The sequence below is a fragment of the Homo sapiens genome, chromosome 8 (genome assembly GCF_000001405.40).
Source record: "Homo sapiens chromosome 8, GRCh38.p14 Primary Assembly".
Taxonomy (NCBI): Eukaryota; Metazoa; Chordata; class Mammalia; order Primates; family Hominidae; genus Homo; species Homo sapiens.
The window spans coordinates 61,295,061-61,313,530 of record NC_000008.11 but is presented as its reverse complement, the minus strand read 5'-3'; the positions used below and the strand labels follow the sequence as shown (position 1 = coordinate 61,313,530).

Below are 18,470 nucleotides of genomic sequence, written 5' to 3'. Positions count from 1 at the left end.
CCTCCTGTGTTCTTTCCTAAATGACTGGCATGCTCATATCTATTCCAATCCTTTGTGTGAATATGAGCTTGGAAAGATGAGCAGAACTTGATTTGTCCTTAGGATAAAGCCCAAATTCCTCCATTCCCAGCCTCAGCCCACCTCCTCAGCCTCAACTGTCACTATGTGGGTCCTTATTTTCTGTGCTCACTGGAATCAACTGAGGTTTCCCCAGCTTGGCAAGCTCTTTCTTCTAGACCCTTACATGGTGTGCCCTTTTGTCTCAAGCAGTCTCCCTCACACTCCCTTCCCTTCACCTGCTCACTCTTACTTCTCCTTAAAGCTAGACAAGACCTGCAGGATGATTCCTCTGAGGTCCCAGCTTCCCCGCTGGGTTTGAGGCCTCTTCTCATGTAGGGCCATTTTCCCCACATTATAAGAATGAAGACTGAATGGGAGGAACTGTATACGCGAAGGTGGGAAGAGCTGTGATGCAGGAGGAGCAGAAGGGGAGAGTGGGGAGAATTGTTTGACTCAAGTGGAAGATGACCTTTGGATAAGGAAAGTAATGCTGAATGATTAAGGTTTTATGTGCCAAAATGTATGGCAAAGAGACTGAACCAATTTTATTAGGAAGCCATGAAGATTCTTTAGTAAGAACTTTGCAACAAATTGTGAGTCATCAGAGATTAAGTGGCACAATCCCTGACAGCAGGCCCCAAACATAATTAGGCAGCATGAAGAAGGAGAGAGAGATCAAAGCACTAACGAGCTTTGCGATTTTGTCGAGATTAAATACCCTGTATTTAAAATGAGAATAACAACATCTCCTTCATAAATTGTCCTGAGGATTAAATGAAACCACATGCTCAGGGAGGTGCTCAATGCCTGGGAGCATTATTAACATTAACAATCTGTAATCCAGAAAGGCACTGCTGTTATTTATGGGAAAGCCATATTTGAAATTAGATCTGGAGATACTTATCAGGGACTATTGGAGATAGGGAAGAAATAGTAGCAAAGAGAAGAGAAAAATGGTGAGAAACAGAAAGAATGTGCAAAGAAAAAACAACACATCACTTTAAAACCTTCACAACAAAATTTACCCTGTCTTTACTTTCTTATCTGACGTTATATTTTGCAGGATAGTGGCAATAACTTCTACTGCTTTATAGAACACTCACAATAAATGGCTTTGGAGCTTGATTTACAACTGGAGCGAAGCATGGGCACTTAATCTTTCCCAGTGGCTGTTTAAGGTTCTGTATATCACTGTTCTGAGTGATTATCTGGGAACCATATCGAAAGGGCGGGGGAGCTGGCAGGTGGTTATAGAGGTGAGGCTCTGGGCACAGGAATTGGGGGTTGGAGTTTGGGCTTGTGCCAGGGGCTTTCCTTCTCGGCTCTACAGTATCTTCCTTATGGGGACAAAACTTGCTTTCCTGGCTTGTTGAGAACTGGGGAAAGCAATGAATAGCCCAGAAGAGCTTCAGTGCAAGAAAAGGCCTCATAACTTGCAATGCATTCATTCAGGAAGCCAGCTATGCTTATTACAAAATCCAACAGTGAATGTAGCATACAGGCAACATTGTGTTTTTAAAACGCCCTTTCTACATGCCCTCTTTTACTGACACTGACCTTTGGAAGAGCAAACATAGGTCATGCTCCTGGATTGCAGCACAATTTCAAATCAACTAATTGAGTGAGCTTAGCATTGGCTGCCTTCACTGGGACTTGCTTTGAGAAGGAAGAAGTTATTCTTAGGCCCTTGGACTTCTAGCCATCAGAGGAGACTTTTTTATCTATGAGCTAATGAATGTTATGTCTTTTTAACTTCTGAGTTTATAAGTGAGAATTTCAGAGGAGCAGCTGGCCTGGAAAGATATGCTGTCAATAAAACCTTGTTCTCCAGGTCAGTACAGCCCCCTCACTGCAAGCCCACACTGCCTTTGTAACGACATTTTCGGAGCCCTGTAATGGCTGACATCTTCCTGGTGGGCAGCCACCCGGGCACGCAGGGATGTACACTGTTGTGTTATCTCTGAGCCGAGACCCAACTGCTCTCCCATCCAATCTGTGGGAAAGATGGCTTCTAACAGACAAGTTTGTAAGGTCCTGAGTGCAATCGTAAGGGCACGTTGATGGTGGGCAGAAAGCAGCTGAGCCCTGGATGAAGTGGAATTAGAGAGTGAGTGGTAGAGTATATCTGACAAGGAGATTGTTAGAGGGAGAAGGGAGAATAAAAGAAATATTCAAAGAACTATTTGGTTGACACACATGGCACACCATACACACATGCAGTGGGTCGAGGAAGCCGGAATCAAGGCACATTATAAACTCTCCTAACTTCATCCCTCATCAATCAACAGCTTTTCAGAAGCACACAGCAGAGACATATTGTATTTTATCAGCTCTTTACACTGAATGAGAAATCATATCTTGAGCATTTTAGGCTCTGGATTAGGTCAAAATAGGAAAACCACCTCACTTATGGAAGAAAGGAAATGACTATCTGCCTGTCTGACCTCTTCTTCTCTAGTACCTCATTTCGTCCTCACAGTTCTACAGAATACATATTATTACCAAACAAAGGAGAAAAACAAGGGTAAAAGGAGTACAAATCTTGCCAAGGTCACAACACTGGTAGCAGCTGAGCTGAGATTCTGTTTGCCAACAGAAAGTCTCTATATGAACACTCATTTCAATGCAAGGCAGAAATGATGCCTTCAATCGCTATCTTAAATCAGGCTTAGATTAGGACCAAATTTTGTAAAACATTTCAAGCAATATCCAGTGTCCTTTGCTGGGCTGGAATTAAAAGAAAAATCAAAGTTGTTTTTGTCATCACTGTTCCTATTGTCAGATAATTAGGGCAGACATTGGGTAAGGATTTTGAACATTTGGTTCGCTAGGTTTCTGTGAGATTGAAGTATGTGGCAACAGGATTTGTCTTTTGGGCTATGAGGTCCTTTCAAAGTATTTTGAGACCTCAAGTGACAAGTGAAGTCTTGCTTACTGATAGCTCATGGAGACCTGTCGTTAATGTCTGATTTTGCAGCCCCCAGATTTGGTGAATGAGTTCCAGTGATAAGTGATAAGCTGTGCAGCACAGTGTTTTAACTGAGAAATTAGGTCTGAGATCTTGCCAGGTTTAGCCACTTGCCAGCTGTATGACCTTGGACAGATCACCTAACCTCTCTGAGCCTCAATTTCATCATCTGCAAAATATGGCTATTAGTAGTGCTTACGTAAGAGCATTACTGCCTCAGTAAGCACTCAATATTGTTTGCTTTTATGGTTGTAATAACTGTCCTTCTCTTCAGTTTATGTTTACTCATTCTCAAACTCAAAAGAAAAATTGATCATCACCAGAAAGATTCAGGAAATGTTTTGGTGGGAAGGGCAGACAGTTAAACCTTTTCTTGGGTTTCTCTTAATAGGCTTTGGGGGCAGGGTTACCTCATGACCCTGGTGAGAAGCCTAACATCTCCCTGGCTTGCCTCCTCCCTTCTTTCCTCACCAATATTCACCATGGATACATTAGAAATCTTCCCCTTTCATGCTACAAGTTCTTATAACTGAGGACAATCAAACCGAATGAGGCACAGACCTCCCGCTACTTGTAAAAAGCTCTTTAACACTCTTGCAAAAGCCAAAGGCAAACCTCAATCAGTGGGCTTATTTATAGTTTGAAGAGTTATATCCCACCTACGGCCTCGGGGTTTTAATCAGAAGAAGGAACCTGCTTAATGCTCATCTCCCACTGCCAAATCACACCACAGAGCTGTGGGGGCTTTTGCAATGTTAGCCCTTTAGAGACTGCCACAGGTCAGCAGTGACTGGTAACATTTGAAGAAGCTGCTGTCTTCAGCGTATCCATCAAATAAATTACTGCAAGGCGTGAGGGGACAAGAAACAGCTGAACACCTTCCCAGAAACAAGGGCAAGTGGAAAAGCACCTGTCCTCTAAGAACAAACAGATTTGGGGTGTTTTTCTACATGAGAAAGTAAATATGACAGTGTCTTCATGTTCACAATCGTGAAGGAAAGAAGGTCAAATATCCTAGTAACATTCATTTTTTCATCATTTAATGCCTGAGGGGTTTGGAGGTGAGAGAACTGCTGTGAGATGTCATTCTGAGATCATGAGTTCAGAACAGGAATGCAACCTTGGAACCTTCAGGAAACACACAAGGACAGATGACTGTAACCATTTAGTATGTGTATTACAGAGTGCATGAAGGAATGGAGACTCGGATTCATTCCATTAAAGCGTAACAAGCCTCGTCAATTGGTCAGCACCCCTTTCACTTTCAAACTGAACCAACAAGTCCCTCTCCACTTTCTTTCTTCCCACTCACATCGAGGACTGAATAGGCCCTGGATGTTGAGACTTCAGAATCATCTCGACTTCTGGTGGACCCAACTTCTAATGCACACGCATCACTGCCTGAGTCCCATTCGAATACACACGGAATGGCTGCGTTGTTTACATTGAGCCACCCTCTACCTCTTGGCTGGGAGAGGGACTTGAAGAAAGAATGTAGAAACAAACTTGAATTTAGACCCTTGGGCTACTTTGCCACTTAACAGCATACCGGTGATTCAGCTTTTGATTGAAAAAGACTTTGGAAACTGAGTGCAGGGTCGGAATGAGATCATAAGTAGGACTTAGTGGGAAAGCATAGTCCTTATGTGCAGACAGACTAGGGAATAATTCCATCACTGTTACATAGTACCCATGTACAAACATAGATCCTTGTGGGACTACGGCAGGCCTTAGAAATAGTGTATACAAAACACTTGGCACAAAAGCACCTAACAACTGGTAGTTATTGATGCTGATATTAAGATGTTTCTAGACAGTCTCCATCGAGGGCTCTCCAGGTGGGCCCCAGCTCCCCTAAGGGTGCTGGAAATATGGAGGTCTTCTGGGTTATCACAGTGCCCGGAAGAGGGGATGCTAAGCATTTCATGGTGCTTAATACGGTTCTACCGGATAACATTGAGCAGCTCCCCCTGCTGACTGTGCTCTTTCTAAGAAGCACTAAGCCCAGACTGCCGATCCCCTCCACCGTGACTCATGGCGCGCATGCACATGCTCATTCTCCGCCAAGAAACCCACTTGCAGTCTTTCAGAAGCTCCATGGATATTTTGAAACATCTAACCACTCAGGGGCTGAGTGACTGGCTTCAGATGCCTTTGGGATGAGCTTGTAATTGGAAGCTCTGAGTCTGAGCCAAGTTTTCCCATTGATGAGTCATATTGCTTCTTGACTAGAAAGTGTCTTCTCCTCCTGAAACTATTTTTATGTCATTAGTAACTTAGTGATACTGAAACTGCCAAATGGTTATGAGCATTAAATAAGAAAACGTACATGGAAATGCTTGAGGACCATAAAGACTATGCAGCTGAAGAGTCTATATATGTGCAGTATTATGTACTGTACTATAACTGACCAGCAGCCAACTTAAGGTTCTTCCTCTGAGAAATCTGATTGGTCTGAGCAGTGCTGCTCTGAGCCAAGTTGGAGCCTGAAGCCAAAGGAAAATCAATAATACTGATCCTGCCTTCTTTAAAAATTTGATATTTTAGGAACAGAAAGTCAAATATTACATGTTCTCTCTTATAAATGGGAGCTAAATAATATGTACACATGGATATGGAATGTGGAATAATAGACATTGGAGACTCCATAAGGTGGGAGTGTGGGAGGGGGAGGGGAAGCAAGAAATTACCTATTGGGTGCAATGTACACCATTCAAGGGGTGGTTACACTGAAAGCCCAGAATTTGCTACTAAACAATATAACCATGTAACAAAACTGCACTTGTACCCCCTAAATCTATCAAAATAAAAAAAATCTAGCAATAAAAGGCAAATGTAAGCATGCTTTCTTTACAAAGTAAATAAATAAAATTTGGATATTTTGTTCATAAAGAATTTTTTTGCATTGTGGGTTTTTAAAATATTTTATTACAATATTATTTATTTAATTACTGAGTTTCTTGGTGCCCCCTTAAATTTTGCCCTATCCCTCACCTTTACAACCCTGAGTCTGAGGTCCTTCCTCATACTTCTTCATCTTCAATCCAACCTTTCGGCCCTTGCTCTGTATTCTGGGGAGAAAGAACCTCCTGGATCCTTGGCCTTCTTACAATGACTCTAATCAAATTGTTTACCAACTTTCTTTCCTCTCTAGTAAATTACCCTAACTTAACTCATCCTTAAAGTGCCTCTTCTTCCTTAAGGAACCAATTTTTCATCTAGTTTTCAACCTGGTTGCTGATTTCTGAGCTTTTAATTATGAGAAACAAACAATACACTGACAAAAGAATCTTCAGTGTAATTTTATATATTATGACTTGCAATGCATTTCCACTGTTTTTTCCCCATCAAGGTTCTTGGGGACCATAGCTGGTCTACACAACACTAATGGATACTATTATAGTGTATTCTGGGGCTTTTATTATCTGGATTCACCAACAACCCCCCATTCATTTCTTATATCTTGAGAATATAATAAACATAATAGGTAGGATCACTAAAACAAGGTGACTTCTCAGAGCTTCTCAACCACAACTGAACTATCTCAGAGGTCTTTGCAGAGGACCGTCTGCACTTATGTACCCATAGTGCATACCGCTAAGGGTTCTCAGCTGTATTTTTGTATACTTTTCTAGTTGGAGGAAACCTGGTAATGGCCTCAAATGCTGCAGCCTTTAGAGGGTACATCTTGTAGATGCTGACAAAGATATGGAGAAAGGGGAACCCTCATACATTGTTGGAGGGGATGTAAATTAGAACAGCTACTATGGAGAACAGTATGGAGGTTCCTCAACAAACACAAACTAGAATGTTCACATGATCCAGTAATTTCACTACTGGGTATATAGCCAAAAGAAATTGATCAATATATTAAAGAGAAATCTACACTCCCATGTTTATGGCAATGCTATTAACAATAGCCAGCATATGGAATTAACCTGAGTGCTCATCATCAGATGAATGGGTAAAGACAATGTGGTATACAGCAAAAGAAACTATCAACAGAGTAAACAGACAACCTACAGAATGAGAGAAAATTCTTGCATGTAATGCATCCCACAACGGTCTAATATCCATCATCTGTAAGGAACTTAAACAAATTTACAAGGAAAAAACAAACAACCCCACAGAAAAGTGGGCAAGAACATGAACAGACACCTCTAAAAAGAAGACATTTATGTGGCCAACAATTGTATGAAAAAAGGCTCAACATCACTGATCATTAGAGAAATGCAAATCAAAACCACAGTGAGGTACCATCTCATACCAGTCAGAATGGCTATTATTAAAGTCAAAAAATAACAGATGATGGTGAAGTTGTGGAAAGAAAAGAATGCTTATACACTGTTGGTGAAACTGTAAATTAGTTCAAAGATTGTGGAAAACAGTGTCACAGTTCCTCAAAGACCTGAAGACAGAAATACCACTTGACCCAGTAATCCTATTACTGGATATATACCCGAAGGAATATAAATCATTCTGTTAAAGACACATGCACGTGTATGTTCATTGCAGCACTATTCACAGTAGCAAAGACATGGAATCAACCTAGATGCCCATCACTGATAGACTGGATATACACCATGAAATACTATGCAGCCACAAAAAAGAGTGAGATAATGTCCTTTGCAGGGACATGGATGGAGCTGGAAGCCATTATCCTTAGCAAACTAATACAAGAACAAAAAACCAAATACCACATTTCCTCACTCATAAGTGAGAGCTAAATGTTGAGAACACATGGACACATAAAGGGGAACAATAAACACTGGGGCCTTTCAGAGGGTAGAGAGTGGGAGGAGGGAGGGCCAAGAAAACTAACTAATGAATACTAGGCTTAATACCTGGGTGATGAAATAATCTGTACAAAAAAAACCCCATGACACAAGTTTACCTACGTAACAAACCTGCACATGTACCTGAACTTAAAAGTTAAAAAAGAGAAAATAGAGTTTATATACATACAACAAAATATTATTCAGCCATAAAAAGAATGAATTCTGTCCTTTGCAGCAACATGGATGGAACTGAAGGCCATTATGTTACGTGAAATAATTCAGGCACAGAAAGACAAATATTTCATGTTCTCACTCACATGCAGGAGGTAAAAATGTGAATCTCATGAAGATAGAGAGTAGATTGGTGGTTAATCAGAGAGGGGAAGGGGAGTGGGAAGGGAGGATGAAGGGGGAACAAAGAATATAAACGTAGGTACTGCCACTGAACTGTACGCTAAAAAATGGAAAAGATATTAAATTATATATATATATATTTTACCTCAATAACAAATTATTACAAAAGACAGTACATCTTTTGACCCAGTATCCTAGGTATTTGCCTGATTTGATTTTTTTTCTTAAGAAACAATTCCCATTTACTGAGCACCAACTGGTACTCACCTATGACCCTCATCACCCCTACTGTACAGGTGAGAAACTGAGGGTAATAAGGATTTAAGCAACTTGCTCAAGACCCCATGGCAGGTTAGGAGGAGCCAGGATTGGAAGCTGGCCATCGGGGTTCAGAGTTTGTGCACTTCATCACTTTTCTATTTGGCCTTTGGACACCACCAAAAAGGGCAATTGTGATTAATTCTTGCAACAGCCCCATATGCCAGATATCTGTTTCCACTTGATACAATTGAGACCCTAAAAAGTAAAATTACTTGACCAATTTTAACCTTTTTTTCCTTTTAACTGAGTGAAATCCAGAAAAAAAACCGATGTGTCCCTTTATGCTCAGTTTTTCTTCTCCAGCACTGGGGCATTCATGGCAAACTGGGCTTATGACCAAGTGCAAGCCTGCAGCTTAGAAAGAAGCAAGAAATGAATTTGTTTTTCATCAGATCTTAAAGGGGCAAATGGTGAATTATTGCCAATGCTGATACGAGTTTAGGTGGGAAAAATCAGAGGGCTCATCGACCAGCAGTGTCCCCTAGGTCTCCGTTACATACCAAGCTGGGGAGCTGGGATAAAAACTCTGCTCACTCTGGGAGGGCCAAGTTCATTTTTTGTATAAATACATGCGAGCTGATTGAATCCATCTGGTTTTGGTTCGGCCTGGCAGCCTCAAAAAATGAAGAAGTCAGTTAGCTCTCTGCTGAGGTCCAATGCCCAGGCAAGGCCAGTTTATGCTCAGGTAGCCCAGGCACTGCCTATGCCTCGGTTGCCATGTTGAACCCAAGCAGGCAGAGACTGGCATGAGCCCTCACGGGATAGTGTTTCCCATTGCTCACTGTTCTGAGCTTTTGTCCATGTGTCTGGGTCCAGATGAATGAGATTTACACTGTCTTAATAAATATTCATAACCATTTTAATCTTAGTAAACCCTTCACATGAGATATTCAAATGACTTCCCAGTCATCTCAGGCCCCTGGTGAGAATGAAGTCATTTCCTTGCAAAGCTGTGTCAGCCTTTCCAGGCCTTTTGGGCCCCACAGGGCTGGGTCTGTGTGAAAGGAAACACATATGGGGAGAAAGCAAACAGGTGCTTAGGATGGGCATGCCGTAGTTCACATTCATTGCCCCATTCCAATTTTCAAATATTGTACTCCAGCCCCTGGTTGCAATTCATTTTACCATCTGTCCTCTATTACTTTTTACATAGAATCTTTCATAGTATTAGTGATAATACTAGAAGCTAATATCTAGAGTGCTTACCGTGTATCAAACAACAAGCTGTGTTTTTTCAGTGCGTTATGTCATTCAATCCTCCCAACCATACTGTTAGATAGACATCACTCTCATTCCCAACTTACAGATGAGAAAACTGAGTTTCAGGGAGGTTGCTTGTCGAAAGTTATATAACCAGTAAACAACATGACAATATCTAAATTCAAACGGAGGCTTGTTTGCATCGAATATTTGGCTGCCAATGGAATAGCCTTGTCATTACAACCTTTTTATTAAAACCATAATGGTCTGGGACAAATAATATTGCACAGTTTGAAAAATGTGGAGTGGGAGAGTGCAAAAAGAGATTACTTTGAAAAGTCTAGTGAATTAGGAGACCATAAAGTGAATTTTTAAGTCCCTTCCCATCCATAGGATCAGGCTGAATAAGCTTCACATTCATGAGCCATTAGAGCTGGCAGGTATCTCAGGAATTACATAGTTCAAACTTCTTATTTTACACAAGAGAGAATTGAGAAATAGAGAGGTGAAGTAATTTGTTTGAGGTTATCATAATCATAAACATTTGGATTATTTACTAAGAGATTTGTTTCCTCTTCTTAACAACATACTTTGGGATATACATGGACCAAATCCTAACACAAAATAAAATATTTTACCATGGCTGATTTCTTTATGTGTGTGTCCCCATTTACTGATGTTCTCTACCTCATCTGTCTTAGCAGATGGAAGTTCTAGAACACTGAAAACAACTAAGCATAAATGAAGTCAGCACAATTATTGATATGGTTTGGCTCCATGTCCCCAACCAAATCTCATGTTGAGTTGCAATCCTCAGTCTTGGAGGTGGGGCCTGGTGGGAGGTGATTGGATCAAGGGGGTGGTTTCTAAAGGTTAAGCACCATCACCCTAGTGCTGTCTGGTGACAGAATTCTCAGGAGATCTGATCGTTTAAAAGTGTGTGGCACCTTTCCCTCACTCTCTCTCTCCTGCTCCACTATGTGAAGATGTGCCTGCCTCCCCTTCACCTTCTGCCATGATTATAAGTTTCCTGAGGCCTCCCTCGCAATGCTTTCTATACAGCCTGCAGAACTGTGAGTCAATTAAACCTCTTTCCTTCATAAATTACCCAGTCTCAGGTAGTTCCTTATAGCAATGCAAGAATGGACTAATACAATTATTCTCCAGAATTATCAATACTTTCCTATTTCAAAATCCAAAATGTTAATGTGCCATTTTTGGGAGGACAGCTGTTGCCTCTAGTTTACACTGATGTCCTGCACCAATGAATTGTGTATCTCAGAAAGAATTATTCTATTGCAGTTGGAGTGAGCCATCTATATGTTTGCACCATTGCTAAGCATCCAGCTGAACAATGGGGTCCTAACCGGCAGGGATTGTATGTTCTCATCGCTGTCCTCAGTGCCCTAAGACAAGCTCTGGCACAAAGTCTATACTCACTGAATGTTGAGTGAATGATAAAGATGAATGAATCATAAGACCTAAAAATCTGTCTCATCAGTGAAGCAATGTAGTGAGAGACTCATCATTAATTATGTTAATTATGATATGATATATGATATGTTATTCCATATCATTACAGAATAACAGAGTAGAAACACGGAAAGGTAGCCCAGGCCCAGGTGGAGTCCTGACCAAATTCTAGACTGATAGTGTTGAAATATGCAAATACCTTTCCAAGATTAGACAGCCCCACCCCAAATTATCAACCACAAAACAGCCAGTGATTACCAAGTTGCCCTACACTGTTATCATCTTGAAGAGGAAGAGTAGTGACATGAGGAAGTGAAGAGGCACTTTAGAAATTCCTTTTAATGGTTATGGGGGTTGATATATTTTTAGGTTAAACCCATGTCTCCCCGTGAAACATAAGAATGTTAATGATTATATCTCTGTGAAAGCTCAATTCATAGGTAATGTTTTGGAAATTGATTCATTATTCTTTCTCATTCAACATTCATTGGATATTGCGCCATGCACCAAAGACATAAACATGAAAAAGGCATGATCTCCTGCCCTCAAGGAACCTGCAGTCGTGGGAGGAGGAGTAAGAATACACAAAGTATACACACAATTACAATGAAGTCGGGTTAAGACAACTGGCTCTCACATCAGACTACCATTGCCCAACTCCCACTCCGTATTCACTAGTTGTGTAACATGAGTGAGCTCCTTAACTTCTAAAAGCCTTATGTCATCAAAGGTAAAAGAGGGGTCATAGTACTAATATCTACCATGCAAAGTTCTCAGGTGGGTTAAATGAGGTAATATATATTTATGCTTAGCAGAGCTTGTCATTAATATTCAAAATGTTAGCTATGATAACGGTAGCTGTTACACTTCCATTGTAACTGCATTAGTAGAAACATAAACAGAGGTGGGGCGCCTGAGAAAACAGGGTTGGGAGGGAAGTAGAAGAAGACTACCTTCCTCCAGGACCATAAAGATGCATCAGTAGGCAAATTTTGTTGTTGGAGTTGGATGATTGGAGTTGGGATAGGGGATGGCTGTCTCTCCTTTGGGTGTCTGACAGGTCAAGTCCAAAGGGTTGGAGGTATTTAAAAAGCTTAACTGTTCAAGGCAAGGCTTATAGTCCCAACCAGCTGGACCAGAGGATGTGAAGAAGGTCAGAAGATGAAGCAGAGCAGGAAATGCAGAAGGCGGATCATAAGAACCTTACTTTATTTCGATAGCTTTGCAGGTCATTGAAGAACTTTAATCAGGGAAGTGATGTAACAGAATTTTGGAAGGGTCACCCTGGCTACGGTGTAACCTAGAATGACTCAGAAGAGATAAGACTAGAGGCAGAGATACTAGCTAAGAAGCTGTTGCAACAATGAAAGAAGAAATGATGAGAACCTAAACTAAGGCAATACTAATAGAAGCAAAGAGAAGGGAAGAGATTTCACAAGTTTATAAGAAGAAAGTGGTAGGACTTGAAAGTTAATTGGATGTAAAGACCAAAGCAAGGGGCAGTCAAGGATGGCTCCTGGATTTCTGGCTTGAGAGACTAGGTGGATGAAAGAGCAGGTAGAATGAGAAAGATGATGCTTTCAGTTTGGGATAGGTCAAGTTTTGGGTCCCTTATAGGTCTTTCAGGGAGAAATGTCTAGCAGGGATTTGGATAGAAATGTCTGGCACTCAGGAGAAATAGAGGTAATTCAAGTCATGGAGAGGATCCAAGAAATTATTTTATGCATTGAAAATACTTGATATTAAGCCATCTACTAACTCCATTTTTGTTTTCTTATTAAAGATGAGAACACCAAAGACAGAATATATGGTTCTTCTAGAAGATCCACTTTCAATTTTACTAAAGTGAATGACCCACTTTGATGAAAAGAATAATGACTTCTAAGGTCTCTTACAACTCTAATGTTACAATTCTATTGTTCCATCTGGAATTGCCTTTTGAAGACAGCACACCTGTGGCCTAAAACTTCCTTGGTGAACATGTGAAATATTTTTTAATGAAAGCCCATTACATATAAAGCCATACAACCCCAAACATGCAGTGATAATGCTTATAGCAAAGAAAAACCAAGTAAAGACACTATCTACATTTACCTACTCTGATCCCAATTGGCTGCAAACAGCAAAAGAATCTTCCTGCCGTAATGGTCTCGGTTTTCCAGCACCCCGGGGAACCCATCGATCAGAGCCCTCTTAATGCCGGGATCATCTGCCTTGAAGTTTTTGAACATGTCCAGGTTTAGCTGGCGGTACTGGAAATACTGAGCCAGGAGTCTAAAGGCATCCGCTTGGTGAAACTTCCTGGCTCGGAGAAATCTCAGGATGAAGGCATCATCTGTACGTAAAAATCCAATGTCAGGCCTGGTGATGATCATGTCCCTGACTTGCTGAATATCCTGATGTAAAACATCGGGGTTTTCATTCAGTTCCAGGCGAGCTTTCTCTATAGTCTCTGGACTGAGTCCAGCCTGTAAATGGGTCATCTTGGCCAAATCTCCGTTCCAAGTGTTTAACTTCTGATATTTTGGAAGAAGAGAGACTGGTCCCATTCACCTGATGGTCTGCTGAAACTGTGGCCCATTCAACAGTGTTTTACTACCAGGCTGCCCCGGAACAGACAAATAGAGGGTCTTCTTTCACATTCAGGCCCTATGTGGTGGTGTTCATCCAAAACAGAAGCAAAACTGAGGCCATTGCTTACTGAAAAACAAATACACACAAAAGAAACAGAAGAGAGATGATACAAAGAAAGTCTGGGCAAATTAATTGGAGCTTAGATAGAAAAACAGTATATTAGGCTGTGGGTCTGATTAGATTAGGTGTCCAAAGAACAAATGATAAATTATCCTTAAAATGGAGTATTGAGCAAAAGTTGATTATAGACAACTTGAAAATCTAACATGCAAATATTTGAAATATGTTTGGGAACGTTTCAGTTCCATTGACTAGTTAACGTAATAGTGCTTGATCAGATTAGCAATAGCATGCACTTTTATTAATTACCTTAAGAAACAGTGAGAGGAGAGAATGATACTTCTCTGTGACAGCATGCTTTATGGGACCACTCACAGGCCTGGATATGGCAGAGAAATTATAGCTATGGTAAAATTTTGCTTCCCATTGGCCTCTTTTCTCAAACAGAAGTATCTTTCACAGAAATAACCCTTCCCCCACTTTCTTAAAGCCAGCCATTTGCATCTTAACTATAAAATACTTCCCCTATTTTAACCCCGCCAGTGTTCATGACTCACAGGAGTCCTCCACCAGTATGTGTGAAGAGTGGGGGTGGGGACAGGCCTATGGCTGAAAACTTGACCTCCAATAATCAAATTCAACAATGGGCAAGGAGGCTCACAGGGACATTTGCAAATGGCTTTATTATTTGCATTTGCCATTCTTTTACTAGGAAAGCAGAGGGACTTGAGACTCTTGGTTGGCTCCCTACCCAACCCAATGTCCATATGGGCTTAAAAATCCTTCCATTGTATATAACCTGCCTGTTTTCCTAAGATGCTGTTTTACTTATGATAATGATATTTTAATCCCCTCAGATACATCCTTTATGATTTCTCCACCAAAATGGTATACAGAGGAACACCCATACTGTTTCCATCTTATTTTAAATGTAAATGCTTAAACTCTTGCAGACATCTGTTTGGTCTAACCTGGAAGTTTCCAAAATCAGAAGACACACTAAATATAAATAAACTTAGAGGCATTTATTTTTCCTAGCTTTCTTAAGTCAATCTTATCTGCAGTAAGAGGCAGAATATTTACTCCCAATCTAATCATTATTGGTAATGCTTTCTCATACAAAATTACTTAAATGATGATTGCTCTGCTTAATTTAGGACTAACAGTAATTTCTTAAGAGAGACAATCATCTCACATATTTCTACTTTATATGTCTTTGGATACGGAGGAGATAAAAAAAAGTAACTGGTATTCATTTTCAAGACAACAGAATAATAAAAATAATTTTATTTATAAAATATCGGCTTTGCAAAATAACTTGTAAGAAAATAGCATTTATCTCTGTGATGTTCTCTAAGAAACAGAAGAGTCTTACTTCTCACTAATTTTGAGGACTCATAACAGTAAAGGAAAATAGTATTACAAACTCTTCCCAGAATTGTAAGAAGTTTCAAAATCTATCTAGCTCAATGCCCACCTGATGTTAAAATTCCTTCTCCAAAAGCCCTTTCAGAAAGCAGCCTTACCCAATGTCTTCCTTCTCCAGTTCTTCCCTACACTCATTGCAATCTATCTGTGACATGCTGCTGAAACTATTCACACTGATCAATGACACGGATGATGATTTAACTTATTATCCAAACTTATGCACTACAAGGTGTTAATAATAACGATACTAGAACAACAGGTTCCAAGCAAACTCAGACAGATGGTCACTCTACTAATAGATATCATTTTTGTTACTACATCCAATAAACAAACTTTAGCATCTACTGTGCTGTGAGCAGCTACTGTAGGTGAGCTTTCTCAATATTTGATGTTGATTACATCATCCTTCTTAGACCTCCTTCTCCCATTTTACCATTCTTTTCTGTAACTCCATTTACCCTTGATTTGTCACCTAGCCCTTTGTCCCTCTCTACTCCATCTTCTCCTTCTGTGCTCACACCTTCAATGCTAGTGTTCTCTAAGATCCTGCCCCCATGATCTGCCATCTACAACATCAGTCCGTAGCTCCTTTCAGATCTTCAGACTGCACATTCTACAGCCTACTGAACATCTCCACTTACTTGACTCACAGACAACACAAACTCGATCTGTTCAAAACTAAACTAATCATAGTTCCTTATCCTGAATTTGCTCCTCCGTCTTTGTCTTTTAGTGAATGACATCATCTTCCATGCAGTTTCCCACGCTAGAAACCTGGGAGTCAACTATTATTCCACTCTCCCTCTTATCGCCCACTATCAGGCAATCACTTCCATAATATTTTTCAAACTTTCCCAGTTATTTCCATCCCCATGATCACCGTCTTTGTTTAGACTGCATCACTACTCATCTGTTTAGTCCTGTGACATTCTCCCTATTGATACGCTTGCTGCCAGTCCGTTCTCTGCATTTCAACCTATTCTCTATATTACAGTTGAAATATGCTCATGTCACTCCTTGATTAATATCCATCATTAGCATCTAGTTGTCCCAGGATAAAGTATAAAACTATGTAACATGATTTCAAGGCCTTTCATCTTCTGGTCTCTTTACTCTCCAGATTTATTGTCTGGCCATGCAGCCATCGGCAGCTTCTTCTCACCTTTGTGTGCCTTGGTAAAAGCTGCACTCTCTCTGTCTAGAATAACCACTGATTGACTCCTCTTTGCCCTTCAGAAGTAAACTTGAAACTCATTTCCGCAGGAAACCCTTCCTGGCCTTCAGAAGTCAAAGCAGTCCCACACAATATTCTACTGCCATTTTCCTTTCTCTCTCTTTATCCAGAACACCTTACAGAGAAGGCCTGGATTTAATTCATCTGTGTATCCCTGATACAGGGTGTGGCCAAAAGAGTCAGCTCCATGGGCAGAGCGACTTCATTGCATTCACCACCACATCCTCAGTGCCTCATACAGTGCCTGCGATGAAGTAGATGCTCAGTAAATAGACCTAGAATACATGAATAAAGAAAGTAGTCAAAATGTTTGAATGAGTGAATAAGTGTTTCAGTACCTCCAGGACAGTTTATCCTTAAATGAGATGTTGTGGCTGATTGATTAATGTCCTTCCTCATCTACAAAGTATTTTTTTTCCTGGAGAATTTAGCCTAAGCACATTGTGCTTCAGATTCTCACCTCCCTAAAGCAAGCATGCCAGGTAATGTTCACAGTTCCAAGCCATGGAGCACAGTGCTTAAAGCACAAGGCACAGGCATGACTTATTCCCTACAGAAGATTTAAAGCATGGGGCAAGTTACTTACCTTACAGTTCAGGGAACTCAACAATGTTTCTGAGATAATTTACTATGGGTTCAAAAGGAAAGTTGAGGTTGCATTTTTCATGGCCTGCTTCCACATATAGCTATGCCTCCAATCTATAATATGTGAAATAAATTTGCTTCAATCTATATCTTTATTCTGTGCTCAGCACACAGTAGAAGCTTCTGGGGAGAATGCTTAAGCCAGGGTCACTGGGTTTCATAACTTAGGATAACATAGATATTTTCCATTAAAGGCAAATTCTTCATACCAGAAGTCTGAATAGACTGCTACTTAAATAACAACTTCAATTGATAATATTTAAGGCACTAGAAAGGCTGTATGAAGAATGTTCACCAGGATATAGCATTTTCATTTGACTATAATCTTTTGTTCACATAAAGGACTTGGTTCTCATTCAACTTTTCCAAATTATAAATGGATACATTGAACTTGTACAACATGAAGAAGTGGAAATGGTTTTCTGTGCTGGCAATATTAATAATAATAGTGCTTATTATTTATTATAGGTATTTATTATGTTCTAGGCATTTGCAGATTCTCTTTTTATAGACTACAGTATTTAATCCTCAGAACAACTGTATGAAATGAGTATATTATTGTCCTCATTTTTCAAATGAGGAAACTAAGGCACAGAGAGGTTAAATGATTGCCCCAAATTACACAGACACTAAGAGGCAGAAACTGGATTCAGCCAAAACTAATCTTTCTCTGAACCCATGCTCTTTACTGTTATGCTGCCCTGTCTCTTATGTGTAGCAGAGAGATTTTATTATTTATGATTTAAGACCTATGTGACCATCTGCAAGTTTCAGAACCTCACTCTGGTTCCCTAAAATTCCTTTCAAACTTACCATTCTATGAGCCTAAATATACCAGTGGATGAACAGATATTCTTGGGTGGCCTAATACTCTGCCTTACAGATGTCCAGTTGCCATCTTTTCCTCCTTCCTTCATTGGAAGATGACTGGTGCTGTTCAAAATCTAGCTGTCTCTGCCTTTTCCAGCATTCACTAATTTTTGCTCTTCCTTTAGGTATTTTCCTTTGGCAGAAATGACAGATCAAAGATAACAGATCTTGTCATTCTCTTTGAAGGATTGATTGCCATGCCTAGCAGAATGCCAAGCATGGTGTCAGCACTGAAATGTGCTTGATGATCAAACAGGCCAGTTTAGGCAGATTCATGTAAGCCTCAGAGGCCATCTCCCTGCAATGTGGTTTAGTCCCAAATGATTCTGTATTTGACACCATTTCAAATGCATGGAGAGTAATTCACAAACATTCTCCGGCAAGGCCAAGGTGGAGGATACCTCCTTTCACTCCAATCCACACCTTTTCCAGTGAGCCAGAAAAT

At 40.3% G+C, this 18,470-nt stretch overlaps 1 protein-coding gene across 4 annotated transcripts in view; it reads right to left on the bottom strand.

The window, feature by feature from the left end:
* The window catches only part of CLVS1 (clavesin 1), a 536,782-nt gene that overhangs the window by 188,099 nt on the left and 330,213 nt on the right, over positions 1-18,470 (bottom strand). For all 4 annotated transcript variants that reach the window (XM_024447079.2, XM_017013141.2, XM_017013142.3 and 1 more), the window contains one exon: positions 13,249-13,854. In XM_024447079.2, the coding sequence (XP_024302847.1) occupies positions 13,249-13,703 (455 nt within the window). In that variant the 5' untranslated portion in view covers positions 13,704-13,854. The remainder of the gene's footprint in view (positions 1-13,248; positions 13,855-18,470) is intronic.